The sequence below is a fragment of the Homo sapiens genome, chromosome 11, assembly GCF_000001405.40.
Source record: "Homo sapiens chromosome 11, GRCh38.p14 Primary Assembly".
NCBI lineage: Eukaryota > Metazoa > Chordata > Mammalia > Primates > Hominidae > Homo > Homo sapiens.
The window spans coordinates 58,227,142-58,243,424 of record NC_000011.10 but is presented as its reverse complement, the minus strand read 5'-3'; the positions used below and the strand labels follow the sequence as shown (position 1 = coordinate 58,243,424).

Here is a 16,283-nt window from a genome sequence, read left to right as displayed (position 1 = left end):
CCAAATTGGAAAGGAAGAATTCAGATTATCCTTATTTGAAGATGACCTTATCTTATATTTTGAAAAACCTAAGGATTCCACCAAAAAACTGTTAGAGCTGATAAATGAATTCAGTAAATTTGCAGGCTGCAAAATTAGCATAGAAAAATCAGTAATATTTCTATACATCAATAGCAAACGCTCTGGAAAAGAAATCAAGAAAGCAATTCCATATACAGTAGCTACCTTAAAAAAATACTTAAGAATAAACTTAACCAAAGAAGTGAAAGATCTCTATAATAAAAAATACAAAATGCTTTTCAGTCAGGCTGAGTTGTTCTTTGTATCATGTCTAGTGACTCCATGGATTATAACAGAAAACATGGCAGCCCAAAGGGAATGGATCCAATGTTGTCATCAAGAGCAACTGAAATGAGATTGTTAACTTTGATAGTATGAATTTAAAGGAGTCTCTTTTAGGGGTATTCCATGTTTGTGGTTTTGAGAAGCCTCCAGCTATTCAGCCCAGAGCTATTGTTCCTTGTATTAAAGATCCAAAACGTAATTCTGGCACTTGGAGACTATATGGGAGAAACTTGTCGTGCCTGTATTGGTGGAACAAATGTTCAAAATTAAATGCAAAAACTGTAGGCAGAAGCACCACATACTGTTGCTAGTACACCATGGAGAGTGTTTGATATGCTAAACATAAGATATTTTTCTCCAAGGTGGATCAAAATGTTTGTTTTGGATGATGCAGATGAAATGTTGAGCTGAGGGTTTAAGGATGAAATCTATGAGATTTTCCAAAAATTAAATAGAAGTATTCAGGTTGTGTTGCTTTCTGCCACAATGCCAACTGATGTGTTGGAAGTGACCAAAAAAATTCATGAGAGATCCAGTTTAAATTCTGGTGAAAAAGGAAGAAGGAATCAAACAGTTTTACATTAATGTTGAAAGAGAGGAATGGAAGTTGACTACACTTTGTGACTTGTACGAGACACTGACTATTATGCAGGCTGTCATTTTTCCCAATGCAAGGTAATGCAAGGTATGAGGTGGACTGGCTGACTGAGAAAATGCATGCCAGAGACTTCATAATTTCTGTTCTGCATGGTGACATGGACCAGAAGGAGAGAGATGTTATCATGAGGGAATTCTGATCAGAGTCAAGTGGTGTTCTGATCACTACTGGCTTGATGGTTCACGAGACTGATGTGCAACAAGTGTCTTTGGTTATAAACTATGATCTAACTACCAATAATGAAAACTGTATTCACAGAATTGGCAGAGGTGTGGCTATAAATTTTGTTACTGAAGAGGACAAAATAATTCTTCATGACATTGAGACTTTCTACAATAATACAGTGGAAGAAATGCCCATGAATGTGACTAACTTTATTTAATTCCTGGGATGAGATAGTTCAGGATGCAGTGCTCACTGTTGCCAAATAGGCAACCACAACATGCATTGTGCTTCTTTCTTTGGGAATATTTGAGTCTTATCTCAATGCTCAAAACAGATCATGGGGCGACATTAGTCATGAGCTCTTGTGAGGAAAGTCATTGGCTTTATCCTCTTTAATGTTAGACTATTAGGGTGGGTATAAAAGATGGTGTCTGTAAAAACTTTCTTTCTTAGAAATTTATTTCCTAGTTCTGTAGAAATGATTGTAGTAGATGTTCTCTATCATTTAGTAATATACTTGTGGACTAAAAGATATAAGTGCTGTATAAAATCAGTAAATTATGTTAAACTAGCATATCTGCCTTTATTGTGTTTTTCATTAGCCTGAGTAGAAAGGCCTGTAAAATTGACTTTTTAGAAACCATTTGAATTCATTTTGTCTGATATTGTAATTATTCAATAAAACATTTAATTAGTGCTAAGCGTGAACTGCACCCTGCTGCTAACCCCCAGCAAGCAATCATCCTAGTTTGGGCTTAATCCCCAGTAAAATTGCCATATTGCCCATGTCTTAATGAAGTTTGAATGTTAAATAAATTGTAAATTCACTTTAAAAAAAAACCACAAAACACTGATGAAGGACATTGAAGAGGAAACAAAAAAATGGAAAGCTATCTCATGCTCATGGATGGGAAGATTAATATTGTCAAATGCCCATACTGCCCAAAATGATTTATAGATTCAGCAAAATCCCCATCAAAATACTAATGACATTCTTCACAGAAAGAGAAAAAAATCTAAAATGTATATGGAGCTGATAAAGACCCTGAAGAGCCAAAGTAATCCTGAGCAAAAAGAACAATGTTGGAGCCATCACATTACCTGACTTCACAATATACCATAAAACTATAATACTCAAAACAGGATGAGAGAGATTGACATAAAAACAAACACATAGACCAATGGAGCAGAACGGAAAATCCAGAAATAAATCTATGCATTTACATCCAACTCATTTTTAACAAAGATGCCAAGATCCTACAATGGGGAAAGGATGCCCTTTCAATAAATGGTGCTAAGAAAACTGTATATCCATATTCAACATAATGAAACTAGTCCTCTATCTCTCATCACTTTCAAAAATTAAATCAAAATGGATTAAATACTTAATGTAAGACCTGAAACTATGAAACTACTAGAAGAAAACATTGGACAAATGCTTCACAACATTGTTCTGGGTAAAGATTTTATGGAGACCTCAAAAGCACAGACAATCAAAGCAAAAATAGATGAGATTACATCAAACTAAAAAGCTTCTGCATGATAACGAAAACAATCAACTCAAAAGAGTACCGGAATGCAAGAAAATATTTGCAAACTATACATCTGACAAGGCATTAATAACCAGAATATACATAAGCAACTTTAACAACTCAACAGCAAGAAAACAGTTAATCCAATGAAACAATGGCCAAATGATCTGAATAGACATTTCTCAGAAGAAAATATACTAATGGACAACAAGTATATGCAAAAATGCTGAACAGCACTAATCATAAGGGAAAAGCAAATCAAAACCACAATGAGATATTATCTCACCCCAATTAAAATGGCTGTTATCAAAAAGAAAAAATACAGATACTGGCAAGGATGGGGGAAAGGGGAACACTCTAAACCATTGGTAGAAATGTAAATTAGTACAGCCAATATGGAAGTTCCTCAAAAAACTAAAAGTAGAACTACCATATAATCCAGAAATCCCACTGCTGGGTGCACAACAAAAATAAAAAAAAATCAGTATAGCAAAGAGATATCTGCATTCCCATGTTTATTGCAGCACTATTCACAATAGCCAAGATATGGATTCAACTTAAGTGTTCATTAATGTATAAATATATAAAGAAAATGTGGCATATATACACAGTGGGGTACTGTTCAGCTATTGGAAGAGGAATGAAATCGTGTCATTTGAAGCAATATGGATGGAACTATGGAGGCTATTACGTTAAGTAAAATAAACCAGGCACAAAAAAAAAAAAAACATGTTATGTTCTCACTTATTTGTAGAGCTAAAAAAGCTGATCTCATGAAGATAAGAGTGTAGAATGATGGTTACCAGAAACAAGGAAGAACATGAGGGAGTGGCAATGAAGAGAGATTCATTAACAGTTATAAAAATACAGCTAGTGAGAAGGAATATGTTGTGGGGTTTGAAAGCACAGTAGAATTACTATAGTTAACAAGTATTTATTTTATATTTCAAAATAGCTAAAAGAGAAGATTTGAAATATTTCCCAACACTAAGAAATGATAAATACTTGAGGCAATGAATATCCTAATTACCCTGACTTGATATTACACATTGTGTACATGCATCAAAATATCACATGTACTCTCTGAATATGTATAATTATATACCAATTTAAAACTGTAATAAAATGCATAATTTATAGAATATTAGAAATAGAAAGACCCATGAGGTCCATGTAATACCAAGTTTCATATCACAAATGAAAAATCTCATAAAAGAGCTTTCCTACTTGCCTGAGGTCAACAGTTACTAATGGCAGAGCCATGACTAGACCCTAGAATCCCAGATGCGTAACCTGCTGTTGAGTTAGTTCATTACACATTTCATGAGCTCAAGTTGCAATGAATGTCTGCCTTCAACAACTCACTGGAAAAATTTTTCTCGAATACAACATCAGTAAGTCTCTGTTGGGTAGAGGAAAGGAATGAGAATACACACTTGAAATCCCCAGACAACAATTTTCTACAGTGACCACAGAAAAGAGCTGCCTGGAAACCTTGCCTTAGTTGATAGACACTGGAAATTTTTTCCAATATTTTCTCTAGTTGGGTTCAGTTTAAGAGGAACCACTGGGGAAATTCCACCTCTTTGGAGGCTCATTAATTTTAAAGAGATTTCATAAAGGATACTAAATAATCTGACCAAATTCGGCAAGACTGGACTCTGAGTAAATCTATCAGAGTCTGTTTTCTATCATTGAGAAGATGCAAGACTTCTCATTCAGGACTTGAAGTGTGATTATTCCATAGTATCACTCTTCCGAAGGAGGTCCCTCTCACCCTACTCCATCCTTAACCCAAATTTCGAAGATGTGATTCTTCTCCTGAATATCAGCATACAAAGGAAACTTCCCCATTGTCATCCAAATACTATGAGGGTATCATATACTGTCTGCTTGTCATTTCCAGGAAATGCTGACAACATGAAACTCATGGACCCTCATTCCATTATTCCCTGTAAGAAGATAGACAGAATCTCTCTGGGAGAGCTTCTTTCATCATCTATAGCAGGAATTCTTAGCACCTCAGCAAAATGTTAACCAGCTCATAAGTGAATTTGGTTAGGTGGCTGATGGAATGAAGCAAATTTCAAAGTGGTAAGGAAACGCCCTAAAAGACCTTTTTATTAGTTTGATTTTGACTTTTTTCTAAAAATAATAATAAAAACACACATTTTATAATGCTTTGTAACTGGTTCATATACATCAATATTGAATTTTTGTGGACAACAAATGAATTATCAGAGTAAGGATTACTATCCACTTTTACAGATACAGAAAAGGGAACTCTGATAAATGGTTGAATTTCCTAGCATCGCATGCCTAATAAATGTAAAGCAAGGATGGAATTCAAGTCTTTTGCCTTTTCTATCAGTGTTCTTTCTGTAGGACGATCCTGAAGAACATGGCATGGAACTCCTTTTTTTCAAGCAACATCATTAAATCATAAGCAGCTTCCTGGTGTTATGTGAAAAAAATTGTATTCTATGGTAAAATGGAGCTGGGAATTTCTTCAGGTAAAAGTAGGCTGGCTGCTTTACATCAGGACTTCACAAAACATTGAGCTAAGTGCATTGTTAATATCAGAAAAAGTGTGAATGTTTTCAGATTTGACACAAAGACTTTTATTTCTGGGACATCATGAAAAATTTATGTTGTAAGGAACACAATTTAGAAATGAGCTCCTCAGAGAATGTTTAAATTCTCTTATGCATTGTGTTCTCTTGCAAAGCTGAAATTGGTAATCATGCCTCATAATTCTCTTCCACATAGCTGAGCCCAAGACTTGAGTTCCTAACAAATACTCAATATTTGCCTGCTTGGTTAATTTATTAATAAGGTACAGTGGCTGTAGAGTCAAGATGAGGAGAGGTTTTTCTGGAAGTTCATAGAAGAAGCACCTATCACTGAGATGTGGAAAAATGAAGATCAGGGAAAGATGACACTTGAACTGAGCTCTGAAGGAAGAGTAGAAGCATGGAAGAGAACAATGTCCAAGGTGAAGGGGGTAGATGATGCAGAGTCCTCAGAGCAAGAGAGATCATGGCAAGGAACTGAATATTGGTTAATAAACATAGGGCTGCGAATGCAACAAGGAGAATGATAAAAGAATACCTACTAGAAATCAGGCAGTGCACTTAATAAGCCTTACTGTTAATCCTCACAATAACACTGTAGAGTAACTATATTATACTCTCTGTCAGTATAAACCTGAGATTCATAGAGAGTCATAATTTCATCCATAGTTCTAAAACTGGTAAATTACAAATCCAGGACTCAGATTCTTGTTGAGAGATCAAATGTCTCCTAAATGTGTGATCAACTAGGAATGGCACAGCGGTGAGTGCCATTAGAGAAAATAACTTGGGTAAGAAAAATATTGAGGAGTTATTAAATTATTCTACAAATGGCATTGTCTCCCTTACTTGTGTGCATAGCACTAGACTAAGCTTGGGCATGTGTTTCCACTATGCAGCAAGAATCATACTAATGTGCCCTTTCTGCATAGCTGTTTGCATGCTTTTAACTAAGTTCAGTGTAGATGAAAAGGATATATTGAAGGCACATCTATGTGCTCCACTCTCCGCTAACTAATACAATAGAATCTGAAATCTGGCCTCAGGTATGCCTATATGTAGCACATGCTTTTGGACAAGGCTTAATCTTGGTAAGCCTGAGTTTTCGCATGAAAGACATAAGGGGATAGAATTAAGTGCGTCTTGAGTTCCCTTAAAGATATAGAGTTTCTATTTTATATATTTTTTCTAAATGAGCATGCATTTAACATATTTGACTGGGCTTTTCTATGGTTCCATGGCTCCCTGACATTTTCAAAAGTCCTTCAGTTTTATATGTAAATGTTTATGTATTAGTAGTACACATAGATTACACATTGCAACACTGCCCATCAGCCACTGAGAGATAACTCCTACCTAGATGAGTTTCTCAATATTATCAAACTTATTGGTTCAACAAGTGTATCAACTGCTTAACTGCTGTGCTTCCTACCAACTGTTTATCAGCTGAATCCATCCCACCTAGGTTCTTCTTTGTTGCATGTAGTAAACAAAAATATAAAGACTGGACTGAGAAAAACCCCAATTTGTGTGGGGCTAAAACAATTAAATAGGCTAATTGGGTTATAGAAGGAGCCACTGAATATTGGCTTTGAAAGAAAGTTTAAAAGACATGAGATTTAACTTCAAATTAGTTCAAATATGATGAGGATACAGTCATAAACAAGACAGACATCCTTGACTTTATGGAGCCCAAATATAACCCTGACTGAAATTTTTATCAAACAGGCATTGCCAGGAGTTTGTTGTTTTAAGCATAAGCTGTCAGGGAAGCAATAAGGGCACCAAGAAATCAGTGAATTCTGTGGATGCTGAGGATGACAAGGTTGAAAATTTCTCTGACAACTTTGGGGAGGGTAACAGAATAATGAGAATAATAAATACTGCTTATATATTTGCATGGCCTTTTAGGTGATAAAATTTTTAATGTTTCATGCCATACTATAGGGTGATGCAGATCCAGAAGACAGAAATTTATTTGCACAGAGCTCTTCTATTGTTTTTTAATTTGACAAATGCAAAATAGTATGGAGATTCCTCAAAATATTAAAATAGAACTACCTTATGATCCAGCAATTCCACTACTGGGTATATATCCAAAGGAAATGAAAGCAGAATTCCAAAATATATCTGTACTCCTGTGTTCATTGCAGCATTATTCACAGTATCCAAGAAATGGAATTAACCCATGTGTCCATCAACAGATGAAGAGATAAAGGAAATGTAGTATATATGCACAGAGATCTTTTAGAAATGAAATAAGGGATGGGTCCAGGAAATATTTCTATTAAGAACTTTCAGGTGCCACCAACCCCTCACCCATTCTCCAGATAAAAATGTTGACATAAATGAAAATGTCATATATTCCATTCATGCCAATGGACAGGTTACTTCAAGATAAATGGCCAACAGAGTTGAAATTGCATGACAGAATCAATTAATTCTAGTTAAATACTTCAATAAGATAGAAATGTATACAAAGATTATATCACACATCTGGAATGATTAACCTAAAAATAATGATAATACTTATTATTACATTTCATGAAAAGCTGGGAGGAAATGTGTGTTTCTACCACACAATAACATTAGCTTCTCACCAATTTCTATTTTGATCAAACTCCAGAGTGCAGAATATAACTACCCAGTTACTTCACTGTATTTCATCTCACTGCATATCAAATGTCTTGCTACTAAGAAAAAAAGCAAATGTGTCATCCAAGTGTGAATATATGTCACAACTGATAATATTCAAGAAAATATATAGGGACTTTGAAAATAATTCCCAAAGGAGCCCCAGAAATGGTTTGAATAAGGTAAAATCATTGAAGTCCAAAGCCTTTGAAAGTGACCACTGGAAAGGAAAACACTACTTTGTAAGTATAAATTCTGATGTGTTTGGTTTTTAATAGGTTATAGCCTCACATTGAACATGTGTGCTGATTTTTCCTTGCAACCGCTCCATTGTGATATTTTAGCACACATTGAGCTCTCCCAATGCTACATGTTTTGCTTTATTGACAGCTTATGTTTTTCACCAAATATTGGCTGCTCCCAATATTGATCATTTGATGTTCACGTCTTAGTAAGATAGAATCATTTTTAAATGCCTTTCTGGGTCAAAAACTATCTTATTTGTTTTTTTGTTTGTTTGGTGTTTGTTTGTTTGTTTGTTTGTTTAGACGGAGTCTAATGGAGTGCAATGGCTCGATCTCGGCTTACTGCGACCTCCGCCTCGCAGGTTCAAGCGATTCCCCTGCCTCAGCCTCCCGAGTAGCTGGGACTACAGGCATGCACCACCACGCCCAGCTAATTTTTTGTATTTTAGTAGAGACGGGGTTTCACCATGTTGGCCAGTATGGTCTCGATCTCCCGACCTCGTGATCTGCCCGCCTCAGCCTCCCAACGTGCTGGGATTACAGGTGTGAGCCACCGCGCCCGGCCTCTGATTTGGTTTTGACGATATATAATTACAAATTTTCTACTGAAATCTCACTTCCATTTTGTTCTTCCTTTTCTCTCTTACTCTTCTTCTTATTTAAGGTCTAGCAGAGCAACTGCGAGATCTAGGAGGCGCCTCACTCTCTACTCTGGAAAAGATAAGAACTGAAGAGTAAATAAATACCTGAGAGAAACACATCACTGCAAGAAAAGAGGCAGAAGTGCAGGTACATTCATTGGAACTATGTCTCAGAAATAGTACATATTTGAAACATTTAACCTTCATAAATTTTTTATAAGGATCCATATTCATATCCTCAATTATACATTAGGGAACCAAGGCTCATCAAGTAATGTGGTCAATGCAAAAATTAAATTAGTAAGTGAAGAAACTGGGTTTCACACCCATATCTAACTTCAAAATCCATGTGACTGACACTACCATCCTTCCTTGCCAACACTAGTTCAGATACCAAAGGATAAAAGTAGACTTTTAATTTATTATATGATTGCAAAATTGTGTATGCTCATTATAAAATTTGTAAAAACAGAAAGCCATAAGCAAAAAGATCCACAATCCCACCCACCTAGCAATACCCATTGTTAATATTTTGAAGTAGGTTCTATTTTTTATGAATGATATAATTATCTTTTAAGTAAATCATGATATAATGCTGTTTTATAATCTGCTTTTTTATGAACCTTCCCAATCTGCTTATTTTTCCACAATGTCATTTTTAGACAATTACACATTGTTCCACAAAATTAATAGACTACAATTAATTTAAGCATTCTAAATTGATATTTAGGTTGATATGATTTTTTACTATTATAATGAAAACGATGACAAACATTCTTGTCAATGATTTTATGAGCATGTTTAGTTTATAAGAATAAATTTGTAAAGCAATATTGCTGAATCAAAGTGCATGCATTTCTTCAAGTCTTTCACTATATTACCAAATTGTATTTCACAAATTTTTACAGCAATTTATACTTTCACCAGCATATTTGGGAATACATCTCTCCTTGCAACTTTAATAACACAAGGAATTATCATTTTTCCATTGCTATTAGTTGATAAACAGAAAAGAGGATTCCATTTTCTTTAATTGTATATTTATTTGAATATATACAAAACAATTTGTATATATTTGTTTGCTTTTGCATGTTTCTTTTTTGAATTTCCATTATTTGTTTTTCTGATAGGTTTTTTATCTGAATTGTCACTTGCTATTCAATTTGCTTATTGTGTTTTTGCCTACAAAACTTTAACATTTTTATTCTGTTGCAATATCAACATTTTTTTGTACTCTGCCCTTTCCTCATTTGGTTATAAATGTTTATCTACCCTGAAATCTGAAAAACAGTTAATCTACACTCTCTTCTAGTTTTCTTTTACTTTTAAAAATATTTGAAACCTAAGTCCATTAGAAATAAATTTTGAAACTTTTTTTTTTTTTTTTTTTTTGAGACGGAGTCTGCTCTGTCACCAGGCTGGAGTGCAGTGGCCAGATCTCGGCTCACTGCAACCTCCACCTCCCAGGTTCAAGTGATTCTCCTGCCTCAGACTCCTGAGTAGCTGGGATTACAGGCGCGTGCCACCACACCCAGCTAATTTTTGTATTTTTAGTAGAGACGGGGTTTCACCATGTTGGCCTGGATGGTCTCGATCTCTTGACCTTGTGATCCGCCCGCCTCGGCCTCCCAAAGTGCTGGGATTACAGGCATGAGCCACCATGCCCGGCGAAACATTTAATCTTTATACATTTTCTGTAAGGATCCATAATGTCTATGCATTAGGGTTAACTTCCAAAATGATTCCCTCATTGTCCTAATGCCATATTAGGAAATTGATCCTTTCTAATTGATTTGAAATGGTAAAAATATTTAATATACTTCACATTGAATGTGTACTCTGTGCTGGGACTGTTCTAAGTACTTTCACAGAATAATTTGTTCAAGTCTCACAACCTGAGAAGGTAGGTAAGTGTATTTTCACTTCTATTTTACAGATAATGAAACTTAATGCACGTAGTAGATAGTGACAATATATTATAATAAAGTGATGAAGGAAAGAGACCCTGGAGTCAGTCTACTTATGTTTAAATTCCCATTCCAACACCTACTATCTGTGTGATCTTGGGTAAGGTAGTTAACCTCCCTGTGCATCAACTTCTTCATCTGTAAAATAGTTATAAAAACCCTTTTATAGAGGGCCATTATGAAATGAGTTAATAAATGTAAAGTGCATAGAATAATGTCTGACACAATAAGTGCAACAGAACAGCTAGCCATTATTAGTGAGTCTTCCTATTCAATTATTCAGGATCTGTAGTGCTCTACAAGTACCATTGTGATTTATGATATGATAATATATAACATATTTTATAACTTGTTTGTTACACATCTTAATGTAATGTGATAAAAGTTTCACTCTGTTGTTTCACTCTTTTCAACTTTTTTTGTATTTTTACTTGCTTGTTTTTCTAGGGATTTTGATAGGATTTGCATAGAATCAATACATTATTTCAGAGTCAATTAACGTCAAAATATTGAGTGAGTTTTTCCATCCAGGCACATATGTGCAAAATTTAGTAGTTTTCTTCAAATCATTCTACTTGTTATTTATTGTTTCTTCACTGGTGTGTTATTTATCATTTATTCATTCATTAAGTTTGGTTGTTTTGGGGGAGAAGAACATTTTCTAACAGTATCATTGATTTAAAAAAAGAAAGGAAGAGTGTGCTGTGATTCAAAGCATAAATTACATAATTACCTTAATGATTTTACTTTGATTTAAATGATATGAGTGGACATTTATTCATCAACCTTTTGATATAGAGTCAAGAGGCTTACACTGAGTTTGTATTACCTGAAGTCAAAAGCTTTCTTGCCTGGATCATGTATTAATTCCAGTTTTAGCTTTTTTAACATAAAGTGAAAATTAGATTCATATCAAATATGAATATAAAATTATTCAAAATGTTATTACTTTCCCTCCTTGCCTATTATAATGGTCTGGCTCACACCTTATTCCACAGCAATTATTAGCAACTTGTAATTATCAAGTATTTCTCAAGCATTGAATTATTAATTTTCATTAAATATATATTCACAATAACACTTTATTTGATTTTGTAATATTTAATAAAATTACATAAGTACAAAAATAAATGCACATGATATAAGCAGGGTGTGCAAAATCCAACCAATTTACATACATGCAAGTCAACTTCTGGGTGTAGGAATGTTTATACATTGTGGAGAGCAAGCTCAGATCTCCTGTGTTCAGAGTGTCAGGTTTAGCATATAGTATGTTGTACAGAGAAAATGAGGAGTATTGACTTATCAGATACATCAGTTAAGTGACGATTAGTTAAAAGACTCTCTATTATATTTCATTTGGAACTAAACACCATGAAGACTATCTTATTCGTCCTAACTTCTTCAATTTATTCTGTTGTGTTTTTGGTTAGACAACCAAATCTGCATCTTTTTAAATTTTATTGCATTGGTTAAGTTCTAAAATACAGTGCTAAACAAAAGTGGATGCTAGCCTTTCTATGTCACTATATTCATATGTGATTGAATTTTTTTCATTTGTGAATATGAGGCTGTCTCTACTAGAACATAAACCCCATTTAGATTTATTTTCATAAATATTTGCTTTTCTCAGTTTACTTTAACCTATTTTATCTTGTAAGCTTGCTCACAGTTTTCTTTGTTTCTTTTGTTCTCTATGCTATATTTACTTTTTTAAAATCTTCTGATCATTTGGAATGGATATGCTGGTTTTTATTCTATTGATGATTATTATTCAGAAATATGTTTGAAATATGTGTTTGGATATATATGGTTGTGACTAATTTCTCTAGTCACATCTAAATAAAATATTTATGGAGTCTTTTTGTACATAGGTTTAGGAAATTAGCATATTTTCATTTCTCCCATCCCTCCCTATCAGTTTTTCTATTATATAAATTGTGGTTTTAAATATACATAATTATTTTAGTTTTCATATTTTATATTATGCACATCTTTAAAAATTATTCTCAGCAATTCTTTTTTGCTTTTAACAATATTTGCACTATTTAATATTAAATACATATTTTATTATTTGCTTTTCCAAAGCATATTATTTTACATTACAACTTTCCCAACCTTAAAGTATATGTTCTGATTACTCTGATTAATCATGCAGCAACTCATAGTCTTTGTTGAGGGATTTTTAAAATTATATTTAGAATGAAATAATTCCTAAGCCCTTCCAAATCTGAGAAAGTCTTTCTGTTGCTTTTGAACATAAATCACTAAGGCTTTGATACAGAATTCTTTCACTCCAATTTGTTTTTCTTAAAATTCTGTAGATATTTTGTATTGTCTCTTAAATTTTTGTATTAAAAATAAAGTTGTAGTCTAACCTGAAAGTGCTTAATTCACAGGTATTTTTAACTTCCCAGATGCTTGCAAAGGTCTTTCTTATTCTCTTGATTATGTTAATGCATAATTCAATTGTGCTATTGCATTTTTAGTTTCCTCATTGTCTTTTCTTATCTCAGGAAGCTCCACTTTAATTTTAACCTGACTCTGTTCACTTCCCTTTCATTTGAAACTATTTGAGTCCAAAAGTTTAGCTTCCTGTTGGAAATTTAGATAAAATGTTCAAAAGAGAGGAAATATATGAAGAGTACATATCAGAAAAGATTGTAACAATGGGTGTTTTCCTACTTGTATGTGGAGTCAAAATAACTGAATGTAAAGTGAATAACTTATAGCCATAAAGCAATGGAAAGAACAAAGGATTGATTCAGAACAACAAGAATAACCTTTGCAGACATAATGTTGAAGCCAGTTACAATAAAGTACATGCTTTAGCATTTCATATATAAGTTGAAACATAGTTACATCAATCTGTAATGATAAAAGTCAAAAAGTGGTTACTTTTGTGAAGCATAAAGACTGAGAACATGAAGGATGTTTGTAGGTCACTGGAATCGTTCTATTTCTTAATCTTTGTAGTGGTTATACTGGCGTATTTACGATGTTAAAATAAATAAACAAATCAAGCTTCACACTTAGGATTTGTGAATTCCTCCACATGTATGTTATATTTCAATGAGAGTGCTTACTGAAAAAAGTAAAAGACAAATTCATTTATCTAATTTTAAAATATGTGCAACCATACAACTCTTCACTGTAATTAAATACAAGCAAAATAATTAAGTCTTATCAATTGGATTGAAAATATCGGGGTGGGGGGAGATATTTCACAAGGAACATCTACATGTGTCTACATGTCTTGCCCCCAGGAATTTCTGCAGATGACTGTCTATCCCATTCATGAGGATTTCCAAGGAAAAGTATACCAAACCCTATATCGTGAATTCATTCTCATGCACCGTGATTGGAAACTAGCTACTAAATAGTTAATTCCAAATAAAATTGTACACTCCTGCTTTTACTAAAGAAATAAAGCGGCCGGGCGCGGTGGCTCACGCCTGTAATCCCAGCACTTTGGGAGGCCGAGGCGGGCGGATCACGAGGTCAGGAGATCGAGACCATCCCGGCTAAAACGGTGAAACCCGGTCTCTACTTAAAAAAATACAAAAAAATTAGCCGGGCGTAGTGGCAGGCGCCTGTAGTCCCAGCTACTTGGGAGGCTGAGGCAGGAGAATGGCGTGAACCCGGGAGGCGGAGCTTGCAGTGAGCCGAGATCCCGCCACTGCACTCCAGCCTGGGCGACAGAGCGAGACTCCGTCTCAAAAAGAAAAAAAAGAAATAAAGCAACTCAGCCAAGAAGAGCTCAGCGCGTCCTATTCTTTTGCATAAGACATGCCTGTGGGGAAACTTGTCTTCAACCAGTCTGAGCCCACTGAGTTTGTGTTCCGTGCGTTCACCACAGCCACTGAATTCCAGGTTCTTCTCTTCCTTCTCTTCCTCCTCCTCTACTTGATGATCCTCTGTGGCAACACAGCCATCATCTGGGTGGTGTGCACACACAGCACCCTCCGCACCCCGATGTATTTCTTCCTGTCCAACCTGTCTTTCCTGGAACTCTGCTACACCACCGTGGTAGTACCCTTGATGCTTTCCAACATTTTGGGGGCCCAGAAGCCCATTTCGTTGGCTGGATGTGGGGCCCAAATGTTCTTCTTTGTCACCCTCGGCAGCACGGACTGTTTCCTCTTGGCGATCATGGCCTATGACCGCTATGTGGCTATCTGCCACCCGCTGCACTACACCCTCATCATGACCCGCGAGCTGTGCACGCAGATGCTGGGTGGGGCCCTGGGCCTGGCCCTCTTCCCCTCCCTGCAGCTCACCGCCTTAATCTTCACCCTGCCCTTTTGCGGCCACCACCAGGAAATCAACCACTTCCTCTGCGATGTGCCTCCCGTCCTGCGCCTGGCCTGCGCTGACATCCGCGTGCACCAGGCTGTCCTCTATGTCGTGAGCATCCTCGTGCTGACCATCCCCTTCCTGCTCATCTGCGTCTCCTACGTGTTCATCACCTGTGCCATCCTGAGCATCCGTTCTGCCGAGGGCCGCCGCCGGGCCTTCTCCACCTGCTCCTTCCACCTCACCGTGGTCCTGCTGCAGTATGGCTGCTGCAGCCTCGTGTACCTGCGTCCTCGGTCCAGCACCTCAGAGGATGAGGACAGCCAAATCGCGTTGGTCTACACCTTTGTCACCCCCTTACTCAACCCTTTGCTTTACAGCCTTAGGAACAAGGATGTCAAAGGTGCTCTGAGGAGTGCCATTATCCGTAAAGCAGCCTCTGACGCCAACTGAAGGCTTAGGGGCACTGGGCTGGGTGTCTGTCTGTTGCTGTGTCAAAGAACTCTAAATGACACAGAACTGTAGTACTTTCTCACACTGTGCACTTGATGTTTCTTTTTTGCCATATTTGCCCCAAGTTCACAATTCATGCTCATTTTTCTGAAGTGCTTTGACTAAGATATGAAAATTTGGACAGAACTTACAGCGTAGGAATGCTAGTTTACTTAGCTCTACTTTAAGGATTTGCAGCTCACCTATGTCAATTGCCATATTAGGAACACCCCATACATACTGTGAATAAAGGCTGATAGGCATGCTGCCTCCTGGGGAGATGATGTAATTTACCCTGTGAAAGTTGCCTTAAGTAAGGAATATTCATAAAGACATATTTTGCTCAAATAAACACATTTTATTATTGTTTTGGGTATCAGTATATGACAAACAATAGCTTACTTAATGCATTAATTTCCTTTGCACCATACATCCCAACTGGTTGCTTTCATTTTCTTCATGCCAGAAAGGGGCTAGGAATTTTCTTTCATTGACTAATCACCTACTATGTACCAGCCTTGCTAGGGTATGGAGAATTACCTCTGGTCTATGCCAGCCCTGCCTGCATGAGCCCTCTGTGCTGGTGGCTCTCACACTAGTCTTTGCTGTTCCACCTTCCTCACGACCTCCTACACCTTCATGAGGGCTGCTGCTCACAGATCCACTGAGCAGGTAGCACTACTATGGCACTACTCCTACCTCAGCATAGTTTTGCAGCAGAATGGCTGTTACCTC

General features: G+C 36.1%; 1 protein-coding gene and 1 pseudogene across 1 annotated transcript; both read left to right on the top strand.

Moving 5' to 3' along the window:
• On the top strand, positions 296–1,582 carry EIF4A2P3 (eukaryotic translation initiation factor 4A2 pseudogene 3; annotated as a pseudogene).
• Positions 1,583–14,506: 12,924 nt separating this feature from the next.
• OR10Q1 (olfactory receptor family 10 subfamily Q member 1) lies at positions 14,507–15,543 on the top strand. Its single transcript, NM_001004471.2, has one exon. It carries the CDS (start codon positions 14,550–14,552, stop codon positions 15,507–15,509), a length of 960 nt encoding a protein of 319 aa, NP_001004471.1. The 5' UTR covers positions 14,507–14,549; the 3' UTR covers positions 15,510–15,543.
• The last annotated feature ends 740 nt before the right edge of the window (positions 15,544–16,283 follow it).

Excerpts from the sequence above, each read along its gene's own strand:
- OR10Q1 (NM_001004471.2), top strand. The coding sequence starts at position 14,550 with ATGCCTGTGGGGAAACTTGTCTTCAACCAGTCTGAGCCCACTGAGTTT.